This window comes from Homo sapiens, chromosome 15, assembly GCF_000001405.40.
Source record: "Homo sapiens chromosome 15, GRCh38.p14 Primary Assembly".
Taxonomy (NCBI): domain Eukaryota; kingdom Metazoa; phylum Chordata; class Mammalia; order Primates; family Hominidae; genus Homo; species Homo sapiens.
The window spans coordinates 50,646,125-50,671,344 of NC_000015.10; the positions used below are offsets into that span (position 1 = coordinate 50,646,125).

General features: G+C 41.2%; 2 protein-coding genes across 6 annotated transcripts in view; both read right to left on the reverse strand.

The window, feature by feature from the left end:
- The window catches only part of TRPM7 (transient receptor potential cation channel subfamily M member 7), a 129,640-nt gene that overhangs the window by 88,967 nt on the left and 15,453 nt on the right, over positions 1 to 25,220 (reverse strand). For all 5 annotated transcript variants that reach the window (NR_149154.2, NR_149152.2, NR_149153.2 and 2 more), the window contains exons 2-4: positions 16,843 to 16,922; positions 11,657 to 11,695; positions 2,563 to 2,761 (exon numbers count right to left, since the gene is read on the reverse strand). Coding sequence is in view for 2 of the 5 variants with exons in the window: in NM_001301212.2 (NP_001288141.1) it covers positions 2,563 to 2,761; positions 11,657 to 11,695; positions 16,843 to 16,922 (318 nt within the window). In the remaining 3 variants the exon portion in view is untranslated. The remainder of the gene's footprint in view (positions 1 to 2,562; positions 2,762 to 11,656; positions 11,696 to 16,842; positions 16,923 to 25,220) is intronic.
- Positions 2,678 to 25,220, reverse strand: part of LOC128092252 (uncharacterized) — a 37,916-nt gene continuing 15,373 nt past the window's right edge. The window contains exons 2-4 of the mRNA NM_001414947.1: positions 16,843 to 16,922; positions 11,657 to 11,695; positions 2,678 to 2,761 (exon numbers count right to left, since the gene is read on the reverse strand). Coding sequence (NP_001401876.1) covers positions 2,678 to 2,761; positions 11,657 to 11,695; positions 16,843 to 16,922 — 203 coding nt within the window. The remainder of the gene's footprint in view (positions 2,762 to 11,656; positions 11,696 to 16,842; positions 16,923 to 25,220) is intronic.

Here is a 25,220-nt window from a genome sequence, read left to right on the forward strand (position 1 = left end):
AAGACATTAGCAGGGTACAAAGGCAGTGAGAATTTGTAGGATCGGGATCCAGGAGAAAAGAAAAACTTGGAGAGATGATGAGCTCACTGTTGGGCAAGGTTTTCCTCATCAGAACACGGAGGCAGGCAGAACAATGTAGAGGTTAAAATGGTTTTTGCTGTTGTTATTTGTTTTTCAGGCAAGGTCTGGCTCTGTTGCCCAGGCTAGACTTTGGTGACATGGTCCAAGGCTCACTGCAGCCTCAACTTCTCAGGCTCAACTGATCCTCCTGCTTCAGGCTCCCAAGTAGCTGGGACTACAGGCGTGTATCAGCATGCCCAGCTAATATTTTTGAATTTTAGTACAGACAAGGTCTCACTATGTTGCCCAGGCTGGTCTCAAACTCCTGAACTCAAGTGATCCTCCTGCCTAGGCCTCCAAAAGTGCTGAGATTACAGGCATGAGCTACCATGCCAAGGTTAAAATGTTCAAATCTAAATAAATAATAACTGTTTTAGGGGTTTAAAACAGAAAATTAAAATTCATGCTGACAAGAGCACATAAGTCTTAAGAGAAATAAGTGCAGTTTCAAATATTCCAAAGGTTCCTGCATTGTTGAAAAAGTGGTAAAGGATTAATTTACAGTACAGTCATGTGCCACACATTTTGATTAATGATGAACTGCATACATAAGGTGGTTCCCTAATATTATAATACCATACTTCTGTACCTTTTTCTTGTTTATATATATTTAGACACATATTTCCCATTGTGTTACACTGTTACACCTGCCTACCATATTTAGTACAATAACATGCCATAGAGGTTTACAGCCTAAAAGCAATAGGCTATACCATATAGCCTAGGCATATAGTAGGCTATACCATCTAGGTCTGAATACACTCTACGGTGTTAGCATGATGAAATTGCCTAACACATCTCTGAGAACATATCCCCATTCTTAAGTGATGCATGACTGCATATAACAAGTTAAAAATGCATTTTATCACATTATCACATTTATTATAGTATTCTTTTTCTTTTTTTGAGACAGTCTTGCTCTGTCACCCAGGCTGGAGTGCAGTGGCGCGATCTCGGTTCACTGCAACCTTCACCTCCCAAGTTTAGGTGATTATCCTGCTTCAGCCTCCCAAGTAGCTGGGACTACAGGCTCGTGCCACCACGCCCGACTAATTTTTGTATTTTTAGTAGAGACAGGGTTTCACTATGTTGGCCAGGCTGATCTCAAACTCCTGATCTCAGGTGATCCACCCACCTTGGATTCCCAAAGTGCTGGGATTACAGGCGTGAGCCACCGTGCCTGACCTATAATATTCTTTTTCTAAAGAACAGAAAAACAGGCCGGGCACAGTGGCTCAGGCCTGTAATCCCAGCACTTTAGGAGGCCGAGGCGGGCAGATCATGAGGTCAGGAGATGGAGACCATCCTGGCTAACACAATGAAACCCTGTCTCTACTAAAAATACAAAAAATTAGCTGGGCATGGTGGCACACACTTGTAGTCCCAGCTACTCTGGAGGCTGAGGCAGGAGAACTGCTTGAACCCAGGAGGCCGGAGGTTGCAGTGAGCCGAGATTGCGCCACCGCACTCCAGCCTGGGCAACAGAGACACCATCTCAAAAAAAAAAGAATAGAAAAAGAACATATAGTAGGCCTTCTGTATCTGTGGGATCCACGTTTATGGTTTCAACCAACGGTGAATCAAATATATTCAAGAAAAAACATTGAGCCTATACTAAACATGTGTAGACTTTATTTACCTGTCATTATTCCTTAACAGTGCAATTTAACAACTATTTACATTGTATTGGGCATTTTATTAATATTTTTATTTTAAGTAGAGACAGAGTCTCACTATTTTGCCCAGGCTGGTCTCCAACTCCTAGCCTCAAGCCATCCTTCCACCCTCTCAAAAGTGTTGGGATGATAGGCGTGAGCCACTGTGCCTGGCCTATATTAGATATTATAAGGAATCTAGAGATGATTTAAACTATACAAGAGGGTGTGCATAGATTACATCCAAATACTATTGATAATCTGTAGACTTTGGTATCTGAGGGAAGTCCTGAAACCAAGCCCCCTGAAGGATGACTGTATAAATAATATGCTAATAAAGGAGTAAGAAAATAATAAAAAATATTTAATCCAAAATAATACAAGAAAAAAAACAGAACAAAGAAAAAAGTGAGACAAATAGATAACTAATAACATAATGGTAAATTTAAACTTAAATACACAGCAGACAACATTTTTAAAAACAATTAAAAGACATCTCTTAAACATAAAAGGTTAAAACCGAAAAGGAAGAAAGATGGCTTAACTACACTGATTGCAGAAAAAGCAAACCATGTCAAGAAAAATGACAAGAAACAAAACACATTTTATAATGATGAAAGGTTCAATCCACCAGAAAGATACAATTCTATATTTGTATGCACCTTTGTACTTTAAAATATACAAATAAATTACTGAGACCAACTTTTTGTCAATATTGCTACACAAATTGTGATGTTTATTATTTAAATAACAACATAAATGAAGAAAAATCCAATATGTGACATACCTTAGCTCTGTAGGAATGAGAACCCCCTTGAAAATTTATGACTCCATAAGCATCCGTTGGGCTCTGTTCTGTATGCTTTTCCACAGACCATTCTTCTATTGCCTGATTAAAATGGTCACCCAATTTCACATCTGAGTATTTCATGGCAAGACTTGCAGTAAAACAAGCATGTTGCTTGACCAAGCGACCACAAAAACACCTAAAAGAAAAAGGTGAGATTAAAACACCCTTCAAAAAATTAGAGTTAATGAAAAAATGGAATTAAAAGTGAATGAACCGACAAATATAAGCTTTAAAATTTTTATATTTTATATAAGTATAAAAATAAGCTTTTTGATTTTAGGATATCTATATATTAATACCTTCATCATAGCACTGAAATAGTATAATTAGTCTAAGATGAATTCATCATCTAAATTTAACATGAGGCATCTACAAAACATGGCATAGGCATATAACAGAAATAGTATTTACACCGGCTGTGGCTCACGCGGGTAATCCCAACACTGTGGGAGGCCATGGCTGGAGGACCTTGAGGTCAAAAGTTCAAGACCATCCTAAGAAACACAGCAAGACCCTGACTTGACAAAAAATTTTAAAAAATTAGGCAAGTGTGGTGGCATACACCTGTAGTCCCAGCTACACAGGAGACTAAGGTGGGAGGCTTGGTTGAGCCCGTCAGGGCTGCAGTTAGCCTTGGTCACACCACTGTGCTCCATCCTGGACGACAGAACAAGCAAGACCCCAACTCAAAAAAAAAAAAAAGAAAGAAAGAAAGAAAAAATACTATCCAATAATAAAGAGAAGTGAATGAACCACTAATAATACTACAGAATGGATAAATCTCAAAATCATCATACTGAGTGAAAGAACCTAGACACCAATGATTATATATTTGTATGATTCCACGTATACAAAATTCAAGAAACCGTGAACTAATCTATATAGTGACAAAAGGGTGATCAATGGTGTCTGAGGCTGGGGTACAAAGACAGATGGCTTTCTACCCAGAAGCACATACTGGACTATAACACCATAAGTAGGAACCTAGTGGAGCTGGGCAGTCTCATTGATTTGATATAATCTTAAAAATCAGATGAGAGTTTGAGGAAGCCAAGGCAGCTAGAGTTTGTGAGGTAGAAAACAAAAAGAGGAGGGAGCTACAACGAGAAAGTTCCAAGTATCTGCAGAAGGGTCTCCTTAAGCATGTGGAAGAATAACTACTTGGCCAGGTACAGTGGCTCACACCTGTAATCCCAGCACTTTGGGAGGCCGAGACGGGCAGATTACCTGAGGTCAGGAGTTCGATACCATCCTGGCCAACATGGTGAACCGTCTCTACTAAAAATACAAAAAATTAGCTGGGCATGGTGGCGCGTGCCTGTAATCCCAGCTACTCAGGAGGCTGAGGCAGGAGAATCACTTGAACCTGGGAGGCGCAGACCACAGTGAGCAGAGATTGGGCCACTGCACTCCAGCCTGGGTGAAAGAGTGAGACTTTGTCTCAAAAAAAAAAAAAAAAAAAAAAAAAAAAAGAATAACTACTTAAGGCAAAGTTAAAAGCTACTGGACAGCAATAGCCGAAACAATTTCTGAAGCTCATAAAGGGCAGGGAACACTTTATGTTCCCACCAGCCAGAGTAGAGATCTCATAACACACAAGGCTTATGACAGGGTCCTCAAAAAAAGTATCATTAAATTAGAAGGACTAAATTAGACCTAGACAGACCAGGCACGGTGGCTCATGCCTATAATCCCAGCACCTTGGGAAGCCAAGGTGGATGGATCACCTGAGGTCAGGAGCTCTAGACCAGCCTGACCAATATGGTGAAACTCTGTCTCTCCTAAAAATATAAAAATTAACTAGGCATGGTGGCGTACGCTTGTAGTCCCAGCTTCTCAGGAGGCTGAGGCAGGAGAATCGCTTGAACCTGGGAGGCAGAGGTTGTGGTGAGCCGAGATCGTGCCACTGCACTCCAGGATGGGCAACACAGCAAGACTGGGTCTCAAAAAAAACAAAAAAAAACAAAAAAATCAGACCTAGACAGCCCATGCCCTGACAAAGTTTAAGAGCAAGACCTGAAAGGATCAAACTGATCCAAAGTAATCTAATTGCATGCTATAGCAAGTCTAAAACTCGCTAGTGGAATACAACAAATGCCAGTAACCAAAAACATAAAATTCACTATTGTCAGCATGCATGAAAAATTCCCAGACATTGGCCGGGCGTGGTAGCTCACACATGTAATCCTAGTATTTTTGAAAATGGAGACCGGCAGTTTGCTTGAGCCCAGGAGTTTAGACCAGCCCGGGCAACATGGTGAACCCCATCTCTACAAAACATACAAACGTTAGTCGGGCGTGGTGATGCACGCCTGTAGTCCAAGCTACTTGGGAAGCTGAGATGGGAGGACTGCTTGAGCCCAGGAGGCAGAGGTTGCAGTCAACTGATATGGTGCCACTGCACTCCAGCCTGGGTGACACAGAGAGACCCTGTCTCAAAAAAGTAAATAAATAAAAATTTCAAAGAATACTGAGGCATGCAAAGAAGCAGAAAACTATCAATAAAATAAAATCACTAAATGAAGACCAGAAAAGAACGAGATGATGGAATTATCAGAAAATGACACAAAAACAAGTATTATAAATGAGCTCCAACTATTAAGACCATGCTTGACGCCGGGTGTGGTGGCTCACGCCTGTAATCCCAGCACTTTGGGAAGCCGAGGCGGGTGGATCACGAGGTCAGGAGATCGAGACCATCCTGGCTAACACAGTGAAACCCCGTCTGTAATAAAAATAAAAAAAATTTAAAGAAAGACCATGCTTGTTGGGCACGGTGGCTCATGCCTATAATCCCAGCACTTTGGGAGGCCGAGGCAGGTGGATTGCTTAAGCCCAGGAATTCAATATTAGCCTGGCAACATAGTAAGACTCTGTCTCTAAACGAAAAAATTAAAGAAAAAATTAAAGAAAAGAAGACTGTGGGAAAAGAATATGAGCATGATGAAGACCAACATGGTGAAACCCCATCTCTACTAAAAATATAAAAAATAAGCTGGGCGTCGTGGCAGTCGCCTGTAATCCCAGCTACTCGGGAGGCTGAGGCAGAATTACTTGAACCCAGGAGGTGGGGGTTGCAGTGAGCTGAGATCGCGCCACTGCACATCCAGCCTGGCGACGGAGCAAGATTCCTTCTCAAAATAAATAAATACAATAAATAAATAAAATAATAATTTTCTAAATAAAGGTTTTAAAAATTTCATTTAAAAAATAACCTAAACTTCTACCTTAAAAACTAAAAATAACAGCAAATTAAACTCAAAGTAAGCAGAAGAAAAGATATGATAAAGAAAACAGAATGGGCCGGGTGCGGTGGCTCATGCCTGTAATCCCAGCACTTCAGGGGGCCGAGGCGGGTGGACCACTTGAGGTCAGGAGTTCGAGACCAGCCTGGCCAACATGGTGAAATCCTGTCTCTACTAAAAATACAAAACTTCACCGGGTGTGGTGGTGGGCGCCTGTAATGCCAGCTTCTGAGGAGGCTGAGGCATGAAAATTGCTTGAACCTGGGAGGCGGAGATTGCAGTGAGCCAAGATCATGCCACTGCACTGCAGCCTGGCTGAGTGAGACTCCATCTCAAAAAAAAAAAAAAAAAAAAAAAAAAAGAACACAATGAAACAGAAAAGAGAAAAATCGTGGGGGAAAGCAAGAAAACAAAAAGCTTGTCATTGAAAAGATAAATAAAATTGATAAACTGAAGTCAGAATAATGAGAAAAACTGAACAGGAAAATAAATCAACACTCCAGCCTGGACAATACAGCAAGACTCTGTCTCAAAAAAAAAAAAAAAAATCATTAATACACCTTTCCACAAAGAAAATTCAAAGCCAGATGCCTTCACTGGTGAATTTCATCAAACATTTAGGAGGAAATATAAATTCTACATACGTTCTTCCAAAAAAATCGTTTAAGTGGGTACATTTCCCAATTCATTTCATGAGGTGAGACTCATTCTGCTTTGGAAAAAAACAAAAACAAAATAAAACCAGCCCGTAATTCCAGCTACTTAGGAGGCTGAGGTGGGAAGACTGCTTGAGGACAGGAGTTCTAGATCAGCTTGGGTAACAAAAGGAACTCCATCTCAAAAAAAGAAAAAAAGGCAAAGCATTAGCATTACAAGAAAAGACTAGGCCGGGCACACTGGCTCGTGCCTGTAATCCCAGCACTTTGAGAGGCCAAAGTGGAAGGATCACTTGAGCTCAGGAGTCAAGACCAGCCTGACAACATGGCAAAACTCCTTCTCTACAAAAATTAGCCAGGCATGGTGGCATGCACCTGTGGTCACAGTTACTTGGGAAGCTAAAGGGAAAAGATCACCTGAGCCCGGGAGGTCAAGTCTGCAGTGACTGTGACACTGCACTCCAGTCTGGGCCACAGAGTGAGACCCTGTTTCCCCACTCCCCCCAAAAAGAAAAAAGAAACGGACGTGGTGGCTCACACCTGCAATCCCAGCTCTTAAGGAGGCATAAGTGGGAGCATAGCTTGAGCCGAGGACTTCAAAACTTGCCTTGGCAATATAGTGAGACCCCGTTCTCCACAAAAAGGAAAACAAGCATTGGACAAAACTGAATGTCTGTTCATTATAAGCACTGTCAGCAAACTAGGAAAGGAGGAAACTTCCTCAACAGATAACATAATACTTATTAAATCTTATCAAGAGTACCACTACATGCTAAGTCTTGTGATTCATTCTAGCTAATCATGGAATCTAGGTGTGGTCTCGGAGATTCCTGACATAAATGTGAACAAAATATATGAGATAACTGTTTCAGGCATTAAACAAGAAGAAACACGAAGCTGTGATCCTTGAAATGAGGGAAACACATGAGGTAAACCCCCATGACTGCACCAGCTTGGGGGCAATTTCTCAATCATAGAGATGACACCTAGGCAGAAAACAGTAGACACTGGGCCAAGCAAGGAAGTAGAGAACAGAATTCTAGGCTGTTGAAACAGTTGGAATTTGTAGCAGAGTTACCAGAGAAAAGGGAGCTATAAAGACAAGAAGGAAAAAAATCTCACATGGGGATTCACCATGGGTCTTTGGCCATGGTCTAAGGTGTATCTGTGAGAGATTCTGTGATGCCTAGCAGTAATCACTTGCTGTGTGTGGGTCTGTGAACGGGGTCCTAAAGGTCTGGAAGACATAGCAGTTTTAGTTCAGCGTGAAAAGACATCACTGAACCCCCTGAACACTCAATTGAGAACACAAAAAAGCTATACCTTAAGAGGAAGGTCCACATCCTAGGACTAAGTTCAAAATAGAAGTAGAACTGCCCTAACAAAGAAGAAAATCAAACCTGAATGGACAAAAGAATCTATCAAAAATTAATTTAATCACCTGTCAGAAAGAAACTGAACACTCCTTACAGGAAAATTATTTACTCCAGAACAACAATATATGATAAAAAATTATTGGCCGGGTGCAGTGACTCACACCATCCCAGCACTTTGGGAGGCCAAGGCGGGCGGATCACCTGAGGTCAGGAGTTCCAGACCAGTCTGGCCAACATAGTGAAACCCCATCTCTACTAAAAATATAAAAAATTAGCTGGGCGTGGTGGTGTGCGCCTGTAATCCCAGCTACTCGGGAGGCTAAGGCAGGAGAATTGCTTGAACCCGGGAGGCAGAGGGTGCAGTGAGCTGAGATTGCAGCACTGCACTCCAGCCTGGGCAACAGAACAAGACACCATCTCAAAAAAATAAAAAAATACTAGACATATAAAAAAGATGAAGGAAAAAAAGCAGTCACCAGAAACAGACCCTAAATGATGCAAATGTTGGAATCAGTAGACAAAGACTCTAATGCAGGTATTATAAATATGCTGAAGGGCATACAGGAATAGACAGTCATAATGAGAGTGCACATGGTGCATCTCAGCAGTAAAATGGAAACTATAACAAAGAATCAAATAGCAATCCTAGCACTGAAAAATGTAATGTATGAAATGAAAATTCACTGGATGGGCTGGGCGCAGTGGCTCACGCCTGTAATCCCAGCACTTTGGGATTACAGGCGGGCAGATCACAAGGTCAGGAGATCAAGACCATCCTGGCTAATAAGGTGAAACCCCATCTCTACTAAAAAAAACCACAAAAAACTACCCGGGTGTGGCAGCAGGCACCTGTAGTCCCAGCTACTCGGGAGGCTGAGGCAGGAGAATGGCATGAACCCAGGATGCAGAGCTTGCAGTGAGCTGAGACTGCGCCACTGCACTCCAGCGTGGGCGACAGAGTGACACTCCGTCTCAAAAAAAAAAAAAAAAAGAAAAGAAAATTCACTGGATGGACAAAACAGCAAAATGGAGAATGTAGAAATAAGAGTGAACCTGAAGACATCAATAGAAATTATTCAATACATCAGATAAAGAAAAAAAAGTTAATTAAAAAAAAAAAACTTCCTGGCCAAATGCAGTGGCTCACGCCTGTAATCCCAGCACTTTGGGTGGCCAAGGCGGGCGAATCACGAGGTCAGGAGTTCAAGACCACCCTGACCATCAAGGTAAAATCCCATCTCTACTAATAATACAAAATGAGCCAGGCATGGTGGCATGCGTCTGTAATCCCAGCTACTCAGATGGCTGAGGCAGGAGAATTGCTTGAACCTGGGAGGCAGAGGTTGCAGTAAGCCAAGATCGCACCACTGCACTCCAGCCTGGACAACAGACCAAGACTCCATCTCAAAGGAAAAAAAAAACAAAAAAACAAAAAACCTTCTCAATCAGGTAAAAAATTTGAACGTGCAAATATTTACGCAAGCAGAATAAGTACAAAGAGAATCACTCTCAGGCATATTATAGACATGCTGCTGAAAACCAAAGGAATAGAAAAAAAAAATATTTAAAGTAGCTAGAGAAGAAAAAGACCCATTCCACACAGGAAGACAACTACTGTATTACAGCTGCCTTCTCATTAGAAACAAAAGCTACAAGATAAAATAATGACACCTTTAAAGTGCTGCAATGGGCTGGGCGCAACAGCTCACGCCTGGAATTCCAGCACTTTGGGAGGCCAAGGCAGGCAGATCACAAGGTCAGGAGACCAGCCCAGCCACCATGGTGAAACCCCATCTATACTAAAAGTACGAAAATTAGCCAGGCATGGTGGTGTGTGCCTGTAATCCCAGCTTCTGGGGAGGCTGAGGCAGGAGAATCACTTGAACCTGGGAGGCAAAGGTTGCTGTGAGCTGAGATCGCACCACTGTATGCCATCTAGCCTGGGCAACAGGGCAAGACTCCATCTCAAAAAAAGAAAAAAACAAAAAAAAAAAACCCCTGCTGCAATAAAATAACACAACCCAGAATTCTATATCCAGTGAAAACATTCTTCAAACATGAAAATAAAAGAAATATATTTTCAGATAGACCAAACTGAGAAAATTCATGTTCAGTTCAGTGTAGCTGCACTATATGAAATGCTAAATAAAAGAAACTCTTTGGCATCGTCAAACAAGAGACACCAGATGGAACCTCACCATCTATAAGAAGAAATGAAAAGGACTGGAGATGGTTAAGTACAGGGGCAAATATGAAAGACTGTCAGGTCTTTTTGTTTGTTTTTTTTTCTGGAGACAGGGTCTTGCTCTGTTGCCCAGGCAGGAGTGCAGTGGTGTGATCAGGGCTTATTGCAGCCTCAACTTCCCAGGCCCAAACGATCCTCCCGGCTCCAATGATGTTCCTGCTTCAGCCTCTTAAGTAGCTGGGACTACAGGTACATGATACCATGCCAAGATTTTTGTGTGTGGTTTTCTTTTTTTTTTTTTTTTGGTAGACACAGGGTCTCACTATGCTACCCGGGCTGGTCTCAAACTCCTAGGCTCAAACCATCCTCCTGCCTCAACCTCCCCAAGTGCTGGGATTACAGGCGCGAACCATCACATCCAGCCTGTCAGGTTTTTTGTTTTTGTTTTTACAGACTTCCTTGAAAAACTCTTCAATATATCTAAAATAAACCCATTCTATGTACTTTTATTCCTAGCCTACCACCCAGAGACCTTCTCTTCTTCCTCTTATACTTCCTCATCAGACCCTAAAGCATATTACAATTTACTCAGTTGCCTAAGAAGGAAATGTAGTTACCATGCTCAAATCTTCCCTTTTCTTCACATTCACCAAATCCTATTGCATTTATCTCATTAAGCCCTTCAAATATGCCTACTTCTCTTCATTGTCAAAAACATCTTACTTCAGGTTCTCATCTTTTTGCCAGAGTCACTCTAAAACTTTAGCAACTGGTCTATTTTCTTCCAATCCAATCTAAAAATGCAAACTGCTCTTACAAAAAATAAAATCAGCCGGGCCTGGTGGCTCACACCTGTAATCCTAGCACTTTGGGAGGCCGAGGCGGGTGGATCACCTGAGGTCAGGAATTCAAGACCAGCCTGGCCAACATGGTGAAACCCCATTTCTACTAAGAATACAAAAATTAGCCGGGCATGGTGGCGCATGCCTGTAATCCCAGCTACTCGGGAGGCTGAGGCAGGAGAATTGCTTGAACCCATGAGACAGAGGTTGCAGTGAGCCGAGATTGTGCCACTGCACTCCAGCCTGGGTAACAGAGCAAGACTCCGTCTCAAAATAATAATAATACTAATATAGCATGTTATTAATTGCCTGTACAATATCCTTTTAACATGAAATCAAAAGCATGTGCAACAAAAAGCCTTGTAGAGTAACTGAAACTCTCATTTTTCCAGGCCCAAATCTCTCAAATCTCCATCTTACATTCTGCAGTTTCCTGACAGAACCATGATGTCTTTCACTATCAGGCCTTCCCATACACTGCTCTCGCTGCCTAAAATTCCTGTCCTTCAACTTCTGCTCAACAGACACAACTTTACAACTCTTCTTAGGTAGCTTCACCTGAGTTTCAAACAGCCTTGACTGACCCTTCACCTTCCAAGTCTAGGTAAAGTACCCATCAAATATAATAGCATGTGAGTTTCATGCCACTGTGTTCTAACTCATATTTCTAATAGATTAGTTTTATTTATTTTCCGAAATTTGTGCGGTATAGTTATGTTAAACTTACCTGACGAGTTGCTGACAAATTTGACATCCTGGAAGGCATCTATTGAACACAAAAAGGTAAATAAATTATTTCAGGTGAAAAACTTTCTGATTTTAAAGTATATAAAATACATAAAATACAAAACAAAAAAAATTATATACCTAGTTTAATTTTTCAGTAGATATTATAGTTCACGTATACCTTGATTTATAATTCAAATAACTATTTTTTAACTGACAGTCTCAATTTTTTTTTTTTTTTTTGAGACAGAGTCTCGCTCTGTTGCCCAGGCTGGAGTCCAATGGCGCAATCTCAGCTCACTGCAAGCTCCGCCTCCCGGGTTCACACCACTCTCCTGCCTCAGCCTCCCAAGTAGCTGGGACTACAGGCTCCTGCCACCATGCCCGGCTAATTTTTTTGCATTTTTACTAGAGATGGGATTTCACTGTGTTAGCCAGGATGGTCTCGATCTCCTGACCTTGTGATCCACCTGCCTCGGCCTCCCAAAGTGCTAGGATTACAGGTGTGAGCCACCGCGCCTGGCAGACAGTCCACACCTATAATTGCAACACTCTGGGAGGCACAGGTGAATTGCTTGAGTCCAGGAGTTTAAGATCAGCCTGGGCAACAAAGCGAAACTCCGTCTCTACAAAAAAAAAAATTAGCTAGGGGTAGTGGTGCAGGCCTATAGTCCTAGCTACTAGGGAGGCTGAGGTGGGAGGATTCCTTGAGCATGGGAGGTCGAGGCTAAAGTGAGCCATGATCATGCCCCACTGCACTCCAGCCTGGGCGAAAGAGCGAGAAACTGTCTCAAAAAAAAAAAAAAAGACATTATCTTGGCAAGAATACAGAGAGAGTCTGGTATCTGTGGGTGAGAGTATATATTTATATAATCCCTATGGAAGGCCACTTGGCAATACCCATCAAAATAAAAAACGTTGACTCTCACACACTAATTCCAGTTCTAAAAGCATAGGCTAAAACACATCTGTAGTATACGTATAAAATGAAAATTGTACAAGGTCGTTGACTGCAGAATTTTTTTCCTAACAGCCAAAAGAAAGTGAAAATAGCTAAAATGTTCAATAAGAGATTACTAAAACAAATTACAATTCAGACATAATTAAATAGGCTGCAACAATTAAGAACAAACTAGTGGCCAGGCGCAGTGGCTCACGCCTGTAATGCCAGCACTTTGGGAGGCTGAGGCGGGAGGATCACGAGGTCAGGAGATCAAGACCATCCTGGCTAACGCAGTGAAACCCCGTCTCTACTAAAAATACAAAAAATTAGCCAGATGTGGTGGCACACGCCTGTAATTCCAGCTACTCGGGAGGCTGAGGAAAGAGAATGGCCTGAACCCAGGAGGCAGAGCTTGCAGTGAGACTACGCCACTGCACACCAGCCTGGATGACAGAGCGAGACTCCGTCTCAAAAAAAAAAAAAAAGAAAGAACAAACTAGTGATCGCCAAGATAAGTTACAGTCACAGTGGGCTACACTATATATTTTAAAGGGGGAAGGGGGATAATCATCTGCTTGGACATACAAAGACTATATCTAACTTTCTGGAAGACATTCCAAGGAATGGATAACATCAGATTTTTTATTAGCAAGGTAAACTTATAGCTAAAGCACAGTACTGGAAAGGAGACTTTCACTTACAGCATTTGGTACCTTTTAAGTTATGAACCAAGTGTCAATTACCTATTCATATAAAATTAAGAGTTCAACTACTGTAGAAAGAAGTGACGAGCTAACTGTAAATTATGTCTCTCATGAATGGTTAAAGGTGGGGATACTTAGTAACAGCTTTGGATTTCTTTAATACCTTGAGTGCTTTTATTATTTCTATTGCAAAGTGGAATTAATAAAACTATAGAAAATAAACTCCTTAATGATAAAATCTATTTTTTCTTTTTTTTTTGAGATGGAGTCTCACTCTGTCACTGAGGCTGGAGTGCAGTGGCACCTTGTCAGCTCACTGCAACCTCCGTCTCCTGGATTCAAGCAACTCTCCTGCCTCAGCCTCCCAAGTAGCTGGGATTACAAGTGCCCACCACCACGCCCAGCTAGTTTTTATATTTTTAGTAGAGACGCGGTTTCACCATGTTGGCCAGGCTGGTCTCGAACTCCTGACCTCAGGTGATCCACCTACAGCCTCCCAAAGTGCTGGGATTACAGGCGTGAGCCACCACACCCGACCAACAAAATCTATTTTTTTAATAAAGCAAAACATCAATTTCTCCGGAAGAAAAATGGTATTTTATTTTAGAACTGGCACACTGAACTAAGGAGGCTTAAATACTAATCCCATCTTTATGAATAGCCATGTGACTTGGGAAATGTCATTTATCCTCTTGTTGAGAAATGTGATACGATGTTGTAATAAAACATATCTTTAACAAGTAGTAAGAAATCAGAATAAATCATAGACTCTAATGATTGGAAGAGATGTTAAGGTTATCTATTTTAATGATCCAAAAAGAACTAATCAAAAACATTTACAGAATGTATTAAAAAATTGAGGGATATTTAAAAAACATAAAATATTTTCTCAATAATAAATAAATCCAAATTTAAAATATATACTATTATAATTACTGTCAACTAAAAATAAATAAATGTATACCAGGCACGGTGACTCACTTTGGGAGGCTGAGGCGGGCAGATTATCTGAGGTCAGGAGCTCGAGACCAGCCTGACCAACATGGTGAAACCCCTGTCTCTACTAAAAATAAAAAAAATTAAGTGGGCGTGGTAGCGCATGCCTATAGTCCCAGCTACTCAGGTAGCTGAGGCATGAGAATCGCTTGAACCCGGAAGGCAGACTTTGCTCACCTCAGTCTCCCAAAGTGCTGGAATTACAGGCATGAGCCACCATGCCCAGCCTAAAAATATATACATACTATTTTCTACTTATCACGTTTTCTTGATGGTGATGGAAAATGTTACTCCAGTCATTACTCAGTAAAGGAGACAATCTCATTCACTACTGGGTGATCATTTATATTCCTTTAATACTTTTCAAAAGATTCTGGCATTACATAACCTAAGGGGGGAAAATCTTAAATATAAAAAAGGTTTTATCCACAAAGATCTTCATTGTGGCCTAATTAAATTTTAAATGGCTAAAAATCGAAAACAACTAAATTGACCAATAGTAGAACAGGTATATAAATTGTGGTATACACAATAACAGAATATTAACTACCATTCCTTTTTTTTTTTTTTGAGACAGAGTTTCACTCTTGTTACCCAGGCTGGAGTGCAGCAGTGTGGATCTCAGCTCACTACAACCTCTGCCTTCCAGTGTCAAGCAATTCTCCTGCCTTAGCCTCCCAAGTAGCTGGGATGACAGGTGCCCACTACCACGTCTGGCTAATTTTTGTATTTTTAGTAGAGACAGTGTTTCACCATGTTGGCCAGGCTGGTCTCGAACTCCTGACCTCGTGATCCGCCCACCTCAGCCTCCCAAAGTGCTGGGATTACAGGTGTCAGCCACCGCACCAGGCCTATTAACTACCATTCTTATAAAATATCTGTAGTATGAAAAGCAGGTACATTTTGCATATAGACTGAATGTAGCACTACTTTAAAACAAAAGCAATACACTGAGAAAAAGTTAAAAATAAAGCCACCAAATGTTATTAATAATGACAGTCTTAATGTATTGAAACTCTACGTATTGCTTCAACTTTGTTTCTCAAAAGTTTTTTAAATGTATCATATACATTACACTTTCAATGGAAATGTGTTTGTTGTGAGAGATCCGTTCAAAGTTAAGAATTTTTTAAAATGTTAAAATAAAGAGAAATTTTTGGAAATGCTATTCAACAAATATTTACTACATATCCACTATAAACAAGAATAGTGACATATTCTATAATATAAAGAGATATCAGTTAGTAAAAACTGTCTATTTAGCTATGTTTTTCTAAGAGTTATATATCTAACAGAAATGAAAGTTGCAGAGAAGGTAAATGGGTAGAGAACACAGTGTGACAGGAGACGGAAAAGGAAGGAAGATTCAAAAATCTTGCAAATACTTTTGTCAATTAATTTTCATTTTTTCTAAGTGCCCATGAAGAAAAGTGCTCTATAGGTTAGGAAATAACTATATCTTAGATTTCCTTAAGTTTTTTTCTATCTTTAGGCCTCAGAAAAAAGAAAAATTTGCTGGGTGCGGTGGCTCACACCTGTAATCCCAGCACTCTGAGAGGCCAAGGCAGGCAGATGACCTCAGGTCAGGGGTTCAAGACCAGCCTGGCCAACATAGTAAAACCCTGTTTCTACTAAAAATACAAAAACTAGGGCTGGGCGCGGTGGCTCACGCCTGTAATCCCAGCAGTTTGGGAGGCCAAGGCAGGTGGATCACAAGGTCAGGAGATTGAACCATCCTGGCTAACATGGTGAAACCCCATCTCTACTAAAAATACAAAAATTTAGCCGGCTGTGGTGGCACATGCCTGTAGTCCCAGCTACTCGGGAGGCTGAGGCAAGAGAATGGCCTGAACCCTGGAGGGAGCTTGTACTCCAGCCTGGACGACAGAGCAAGACTCTGTTCCAAAAAAAAAAAAAAGGTAAAAAGAATAATTTTGGCAAAAATGTTTAAGTAAATATTTCATGAGCTCAACTTTTTCTTCAGTTACTAAGTTAATGTCCTTTAATTTTTTTCTATTATCAAAGCCATCTTAGAGACCAAAGACACAGACACCTATAGTCTCTGATAATAGATTTTCCAGTAAATAATGATCTGTATCTATATATTGGCAAACAAAAAGAATGACTATTATTAGGTTCATATTGCTTTCTTCGACATGAACCATAGTGTTGGATACCCAGTAGATGCCCAATAGATACACAAATTTAAGTTCCCAATATCAGTGAATCCATTAAAAAATAAGAGAGTCTTAACTGCCTTACCTTTGTAAAACACTACACTATGATCTGAGGGAGTTTAGAGATGGAGGAACACTTCAAGGAAGAGATTGTATGCTGTAAATGGCATTAAGAACTCCAAAATACTGATTTCAGTGCTGTTTCCTCCTCCCAATCCCTCCCAAATTAAATGATTAACAGTAATTATAAAAAGTAACAGTAAGTACAAATAATTTATTTAGTGGTTTTTGTTTCCAATAAAGAAATAACAATATAATTTACACTAAAATTTCTAGAAGACCCCAGAAGTAACAAAGGTGTGCTTACCTGTGAGGGTCCTTGGAACTTGGTATAATATATACACATTCCCTCTTGGTCAAAGTGCTTTCTATCCAGGATTTCTGGGACTAAAACAAAATGTTTTAAAGAATTGTTTATAAGTTAACCCACTAAATAAGAAGGAAACAATTTCATGATAAACACATAAACAGTTCTTTTTTTTTTTTGAGACAGAGTTTTGCTCTTGTTGCCCAGACTGGAGAGCAATGGTGTGATCTTGGCTCACCACAACCTCCGCCTCCCGGGTTCAAGTGATTCTCCTGCCTCAGCCTCCCGGGTAGCTGGCAGTACAGGCATGTGCCACTACGACCAGATAATTTTGTATTTTTTTAGTAGAGATGGCGTTTCTCCATGTTGGTCAGGCTGGTAACGCCCGACCTCAGGTGATCTGCCTGCCTCGGCCTCCCAAAGTGGTGGGATTACAGGCGTGAGCCACCGTGCCCGGCCCATAAACACTTCTATACTACATAATTTTTTATTTACTTTTCACTACATACCATAATCTGAGGATGGCACCCCAAAACGTCAGAATAATTCCATTTAAATCCCAAGTGACCTAGGTTATTAAATCAACAGTACTGTGTAGATACTATTGCTTCAAATAGTCAAACAGGAGGGAAGCCTAGTTTGAGATTCCCACTACGAACCAAAAACCTTAAGAGGGGCTGGTATTATTCTGGGATATGAGCCATTTAAAAGACAACTAGCTCGGCACAGTAGCTCACACCTGTAATCTCAACATTTTGGGAGCCAAGGTGAGAGGATCCTTTTAGACAGAATTCAAGGCTACCCTGGAAAACATGGTGAAACGCCATCTCTACCAAAAGCTAAAAAATTAGCCAGGTATGGTGATGTGCTCCTGTAGTCCCAGCTACTTGGAAGTCTGAGGCAGGAGGATCGCCTAAGCCGAGGAGGCTGAGGATGCAGTCAGCCATGATCAGGCCACTGCACTCCAGCCTGAGTGAAAGAGTGAGAGACTCTGTCTCAAAAAACAAAGCAAAAAAAACCTGAAAAAAAGACAATTAGAATTGACAGATTTGGCCGCGTGCGGTGGCTCACACGTATAATCCCAACACTTTGGGAGGCTGAGGTGGGCGGATCACAAAGTCAGAAGACCAAGACCATCCTGGCCAACATGGTAAAACCCCGTCTCTACTAAAAATACAAAAATTAGCTGGGTGTGGTGGCGTGTGCCTGTAATCCCAGCTACTCCGGAGGCTGAGGCAGGAGAATCGCTTGAACCAGGGAGTGAACCAGGGAGTCGGAGGTTGCAGTGAGCCGAGATCGCGCCACTGCACTCCAGCCTGGCGACAGAGCAAGACTCCGTCTCAAAAAAAAAAAAAAAAAAAAGTGATAGATTGATAAAAAATAAAACCCAGCTACATTCCATTTCTAATATAAATACCTAAAGCATAAGGGCATGGAATGGTTAATGATACAGGAATAAAAAGACATAAAGCAAATTCTAATTAGAAGAAAAATAGTGTCAGAAAAATGGGTACAACACATCAATAGGGATAGAGAAGGTTATTACAAACGTTAAATCTGCCAGATTGCTATTATAATCTTAAATATGATTAACCAAATAAAAGTTTCAAAATACATAAAGGGAAAAAATTAGTAGCATTAGACAAATCTAGGCTCACAGAAGATTAACACATTTCCCTCAATACTGAAAAGTCAATCAAACAAAACCTAACAGCAGAAGCCAGGCATGGTGGCTCACGCCTGTAACCCCAGCACTCTGGGAGGCAGGAAGATGGCTTGAGTCTGTGAGTTCAAGACCAGCTGGGTAACACAGTGAGACTCCATCTCTACAAAAAAATTAAACAGTCAGCCGGGTGTGGTGGTGCACACCTATAGTCAGTCCCAGCTACTCAGGGGGCTGAGGTGAGAGGATCACTTGAGCCTGGGAGGTCAAGGCTGCAGTAAGCCAAGATCACACCACTGCAATCCAGCCTCGTTGACAGAGCAAGACCCTGTCTTAAAAATAAATAAATAATCAGCAGAAATATTTAAAAGATTTTAACAACATGTTAACAAGCTTCATTTAATAAATATACGCATGTTTCTGTATATTAGAAACAGAAGATCCATTCATTCTTCTCAAGCACACATGAGGCATTTATAAAAATTAATCATGGGTCAGGCCCAGTGGCTCGTACCTGCAATCCGAGTACTTTAGGAGGCCTCATGGATCACCTGAGGCCAGGAGTTCGAGACCAGCCTAACCAACATGGTGAAACCCGTCTCTACTAAAAGTACAAAATAAGTCGTGTGTGGTGGCACACATCTGTAATCCCAACTACTCAGGAGGCTGAGGCAGAACTGCTTGAACCCGGGAGGCAGAGATTGCAGTGAGCCAAGATCATGCCACTGCACTCCAGCCTGGGTGAAAAGAGTAAAACTCTGTCTAAAAAAAAAAAAAAAAATTGATCATGTGCTTGACCATAAAATAAGATTCAACAAATTTCAGACACTGGGTATCTGGCAGATCATACTCACTGATCACAATGCAATTAACATAATGTAAATAAAAATTTTAAACCACCAACATTCAACACTTTATATAACTTGAGGATCCAATAAAAATTCATAATTAAAAATTTTAAATTCTTAGAAGTGAATAATAGTGAAAATTCTATGCACTTGAAAACCTGTACAATGTAGTCTAAATGGTGCATGTATAGGAAAATGTATAGGCTTAAGTGATTACATTTAAAAATGAAGGCTGGGCCAGGCACAGTGGATCACGCCTGTAATCCCAGCACTTTGGGAGGCCGAGGTGGGCAGATCACTTGAGGTCAGGAGCTCAAGACCAGCCTGACCAACATGGTGAAAACCGTCTCTACTAAAATACAAAAATTAGCAGAGTGTTGTGGTGGGCACCTGTAATCCCAGCTACTCGAGAGACTGAGGCAGGAGAACTGCTTGAACGTGGAAGGCAGAGCTTGCAGTGAGCCCAGATCGTGCTACTGCACTCCAGCCTGGGCAACAGAGCGAGACTCTCTCTCAAAAAATAATAATTTAAAAAAAAGGCTGAAAATTAATGAGCTAACTCTCGGACTTTAAAAACATATTGAAAGAATAAAGTCAAAGGAAAGAAATAAAATTAAAGAAAAAAATCAGTAAAACAGATTTTAATAAAACAGCAAGATAAGCAAAAGTTAAAAGTTGGTTCTTAGGTTAACAAAATTGGTAAACCTTTATCAAGACTGAACAAGAAGCCAGGCAGATCACTTGAGTCCAGGAGTTTGAGACCAGCCTGGGCAACATGGCAAAACCCCATCTCTACGAAAAATACAAAAAATTAGCCAAGCATGTGATGGCACGTGCCTGTAGACCCAGCTACTTAGGAGGCTGAAGCCAGAGGATCATCTGAACCCAGGGAGCTCGAGGCTGCAGCGAGCTGTGATCATGCCACCGTACTCCAGCCTGGGTGACAGAATGAGAGAAGGGAGAAGAAGGTAGAAGGGAGAAAGAAGAGGAGGAAGAGGAAGAAGAGGAAGAAGAAAACGAAGAGGAAGAGGAAAAAGAAAAAGAGGCCGGGTGCAGTGGCTTATACCTGTAATCCCAGCACTTTGGGAGGCTGAGGCGGGCAGATCACCTGACGTTGGGAGTTCGAGACCAGCCTGACCAACATGGAGAAACCTGTCTCTACTAAAAATACAAAATTAGCCAGGCATGGTGGTGCATGCCTATAATCGCAGCTACTTGGAAGGCTGAGGCAGGAGAATTGCTTGAACCTGGGAAGCAGAAGTTATGGTGAGCCGAGATCGTGCCATTGCACTCCAGCCTGGGCAACAAGAGCAAAAACTGTCTCCAAAAAAAAAGAAGAGGCGGTGGAGGTGGCAGCACAAGTAATAGTAAGACTGAAAAGATACAAGGTAATTGAAAGATAAAGAAGAAAATAACAGGCTGTTCTGCCTCTGGAGTAGCCATTCTTCTGTTTCTTTACTTTCCTAATAAACTTGCTTTTACTTTACTGTATGGATTCGCCTCAAATTCTGTCTTGCACAAGATCCAGGAACCTGTTCCTGGGGTCTGGATCAGGACCCCTTTCTGGTAACATCTTTCTGGCAAACCATAAAGGGATGATACTGAGGAGACCCCCAACCCAAAGGAAATAGACTGCAGCATTGATTGGCCGACTCTGGGGGTGTCTAATGGCAGTTATGGGGAAATACACAGCTCTCTGCATGTCTGGATCAGAGAAACATGCTCTTGGCCCCCTAGAAGCTGTGCCTGATTACTAGGCCCTAGAAACTGAACGCTTTCCTCGCCCTGTTCCTCCAAGGGCTCTACCTTGAAGCCAGTAATCCAATTAAGAAATTGGCAAATGAAAGACCTTACAACTGATGGATCTCCCGCCTATGTATTTATATGTGTTGTGTGTGTATGATATGAAAGAGCTTTGATTAACTGGTTTAAAAATAAGAGCTGCTGGCCGGGCACAGTGGTTCACGCCTGTAATCCCAGCACTTTGGGAGGCCAAGGTGGGCGGATCACTTGAGGCCAGGAGTTTTGAGACCAGCCTGGCCGACATGTAAAACCCCACCTCTACTAAAAATACAAAAAATTAGCTGGGAATGGTGCCTTGCACCTGTAATCCCAGCTGCTAGGGAAGCTGAGGCAGGAGAATCGCTTGAACCCAGGAGGTGGAGGTAACAGTGAGCCAAGACTGTGCCACTGCACTCCAGCCTGGGCAACAGAAGGAGACTCCATCCCCCTCCAAAAAAACATATTTAAATAAGAAATAATAAAATAAAATTGGATCAATTTGTCTATAAGGTTTTATTAAGAACTGGGTTTCACATATCAATAATGCACTAGTCCAACAGTGAAATTTGGCTTATTGACATAAAAATCATACAGGAAGCATTGCCAAATATGAAATGGTGTTTGGCTTTCTTTGGGTTGCATTTGTATAAATATGTTATTGGTATGTGTTCCAAAATTATGAAAAGCTCCTATAATTCTGATATGATTCAATGTACCTTATCAGCAGTAATTATGATTATTATGTTAAATTATTGTGTGCCACAAAGGTAACCAAAATTCTTTGTCAATCGTGTCTTTGACTATGGCTGTCCTAAGACTTTTTGTCATCAACATACAACTGTTGTCATGTTTTGATCCTCTTCGAAAGGTGGTTTATAATCAGCTATAGGACTTTCACAGGTGCTCTTAAATGCAGGTTTCTGATAACTTTGGAGACTCTAACATTAGAATAAAGGAAAAAACATTCAGGACTGTCATGGAGGGCTGGAATGTTCACGTGTATCAAACAGGAGTTAACTTCATGGACTGAATTAATGTAAGACTCATCTTTTTTACTTTTTTGCTTAAAACGTCGCTGATCCTTTATTTTGTTTTGCAGTCAAGGATTTGAGCTATTGACAGCTATTAACAATTGAGTAAAGTATACTCCTGTGGACAAAATTTGGAGCATATTTGTTTCTCTCTACCCCATTTCTCAATTTGGAGACTATTTATGAGTACTCTTAACTTATGGCAATAGATTTGTTTTTGTTTTTTGTTTTTTGAGACAAAGAGTTTTGCTCTGTTGCCCAGGCTGGAGGGCAGTGGCATGATCTCAGCTTACTGCTAACTCTGCCTCCGGGGTCCAAGTAATTCTCCTGCCTCAGCCTCCCAAGTAGCTGGGATTACAGATGCCCGCCACCACACCAAGCTACTTTTTGTATCTTTAGTAGAAACAGGTTTTCACTATGTTGGCCAGGCTGGTCTCAAACTCCTGACATCAAGTGATTCACCTGCCCCAGCCTCCCAAAGTGCTGGGATTACAGGCATGAGCCACCATGCCTGGCCTACAATAGATATTTGTATAAGTGCAGTAAGAATCGGTTTTCTCTTGTGACAGGACACAATTGGAGAAACTGGTTATTTTACCAAGGCTTTGACTGGAATGATGTGCTCTCCTTAAAGGAATCAAACTTGACTTGTAGAGCCAATTAAAAGCTGCTTGGGAAAACTGGCCTCATATCTTGTCTACGCAGTCCCTGTACAGGGTTCCTGACCTGTGATAAGTTAAGAATGTCACTTTTTGACAGGCCCAGGAGCCCCAAGTTATCTTGGGACCTCAAGAAGAGAGAAATTTACCCAATACATAAAGGTATTTGAGGGTACAAACCCACAGCTGAGGTCAGGCGCAGTGGCTCATGGCTGAGCGTGGTGGCTCACGCCTGTAATCACAGCACATTGGGAGGCTGAGGTAGGTGGATCACCTGAGGTCTGGAGTTCGAGACCAGCCTGGCCAAGACCTCATCTCTACTAAAAATACAAAAAATTAGCCAGGCGTGGTGGTGTGTGCCTGTAATTCCAACTACACAGGAAGCTGAAGCAGCAGAACCACTTGAACTCAGGAGATGGAGGCTGCAGTGAGCCGAGGTCATGCCAGTGCACTCCAGCCTGGGCAACAGAGTGAGACTCTGTCTCAAAAAGAAAAGGAAAAAAAAAATCCATGCTGGGCTCGGTTTTAAAAGTCTTATCGGAGATTCCTTATGGAACAGAGTTCCATCAAAGCCAATTTCGAAAGCCTATATAATTATTCTTGCTGCACTTTATACAAATAATCTGGCCAAGTATAACAAAGCAAATCGGTCATACTATAACTTGTCTTTAGTAAAAATGGGACACTGGAGTGAGAAAAAATTGTGTTTCAAGAACTATGGTATACCTGTCAGTAGATTCTAGTCTCATCAGTTGTTTGAGTTTTTTTCCTGCAATTTAGGCTGACCTTGCTTTCTCCTGTGAACCAATCAGTGATCTCTGACTGAAGTCCAGGAAAAAAAAAAGGGATGGCTAATGTAAAAATCTGGATCAATATTCTAATTCTGGGCACATAATACAATCAGCGATCCCTTATCAGCATGGTTCCAACAGTTGCCAGTTCATGGAAAGCCTTCTAATTTAGTTTACTTGGGACAGTTTTACTTATTTTGCTTTACTGTTATGGAATACATTGCTGTTGTACTCTTTGTATAGGAATGCAGGATAAGCTTACTGAATGTTTTATTAAACACTTATTAATCTTTCAGATATCATGTTTTGTCAGAACTCTGAGTTATGGATGGCCCTCAGCAAACTGATGTGTTGTGAATGAGTGCCTCTCTATCACGGACACAAGAGACCTTAATAGTTAGGCAGGAATATCATCACCCCATTCAGCAAGAAGAGGTTACAAAAGGTGTATCTTCATCCCTCTACAACCCTTAGGATGAAGGATTCTCTTATAAAAGAAGGGGGGAAACGTCAGAGGTGTTTAAACCAGAGTGACTCCATCTTGAATAGGGGCTGAGTAAAATAAGGCTGAGACCTGCTGGGCTGCATTCCCAGTAGGTTAGGTATTCTAAGTCACAGGATGAGATGGGAGTCCAACATAAGATATAGGCCATAAAGACTGTGCTGATAAAACAGGTTGCACTAAAAAAGCTAGCCAAAACCCACCAAAACCAAGATGGCAACAGAGTAGACCTCTTCCTCACTGCTCATTATATGCTAATTATAATGTATCACCATACTAAAAGACACTCTAACCAGCACCATGACAGTTTACAGATGCCATGGCAACATTCAGAAGTTACCCTATATAGTTTAAAAAGAGGAGGAACCCTCAGTTCTGGGAACTGCCCACCACTTTCCCAGAAAATTCATTAATAATCCACTCCTTGCTTAGCATATAATCAGGAAATAACCATAAAAGTGGGCAACCAGCAGCCCTCAGGACTGCTCAACCTATGGGGTAACCATTCTTTTGTTTATTTACTTTCCTAATAAACTTGCCTTCACTTTACTGTAAAAAAAAGAAAAAGAAAAAAAAAAAAAAAGCAAGAAAATAATAAGAGGATACTATCAACAACTCTGTGCCAAAACGTGTCAAAACATATTAAGTAGGCCAGGTGCAGTAGCTCTTGCCTGTAATCTTAGCAGTCTGGGAGGCCAATGGGGGCAGATTGCTGGAGCTCAGGAATTTGAGACCAGATAAAAGGGGGCTACTATACATTGCGGAATGGCTAAATCGAGCTAATTATCATATACATTGCCTCACATACTATTTTTTTGTGGTGAGACCACTTAAAATATACTCTTAGTATTTTTCAAAAATACATTGTTATTTAGCGTAGTCACCATGTTGTACAGAAGATTTCTTGAAATTATTCTTCCTAACTGAAATTTTGCATCCTTTGACCAACATTTCCCCAGCAATCCCCACCCAAGTCCCTGATAACCACCATTCTACTCTCCATCCAGAAATTGAACTTTTATCAGTTCAATTTTTTAGATTCTACACAGAAGTGAGACCATGTAGTATCTTGTCTTTCTGTTCCTGGCTTATTTCACTTAAC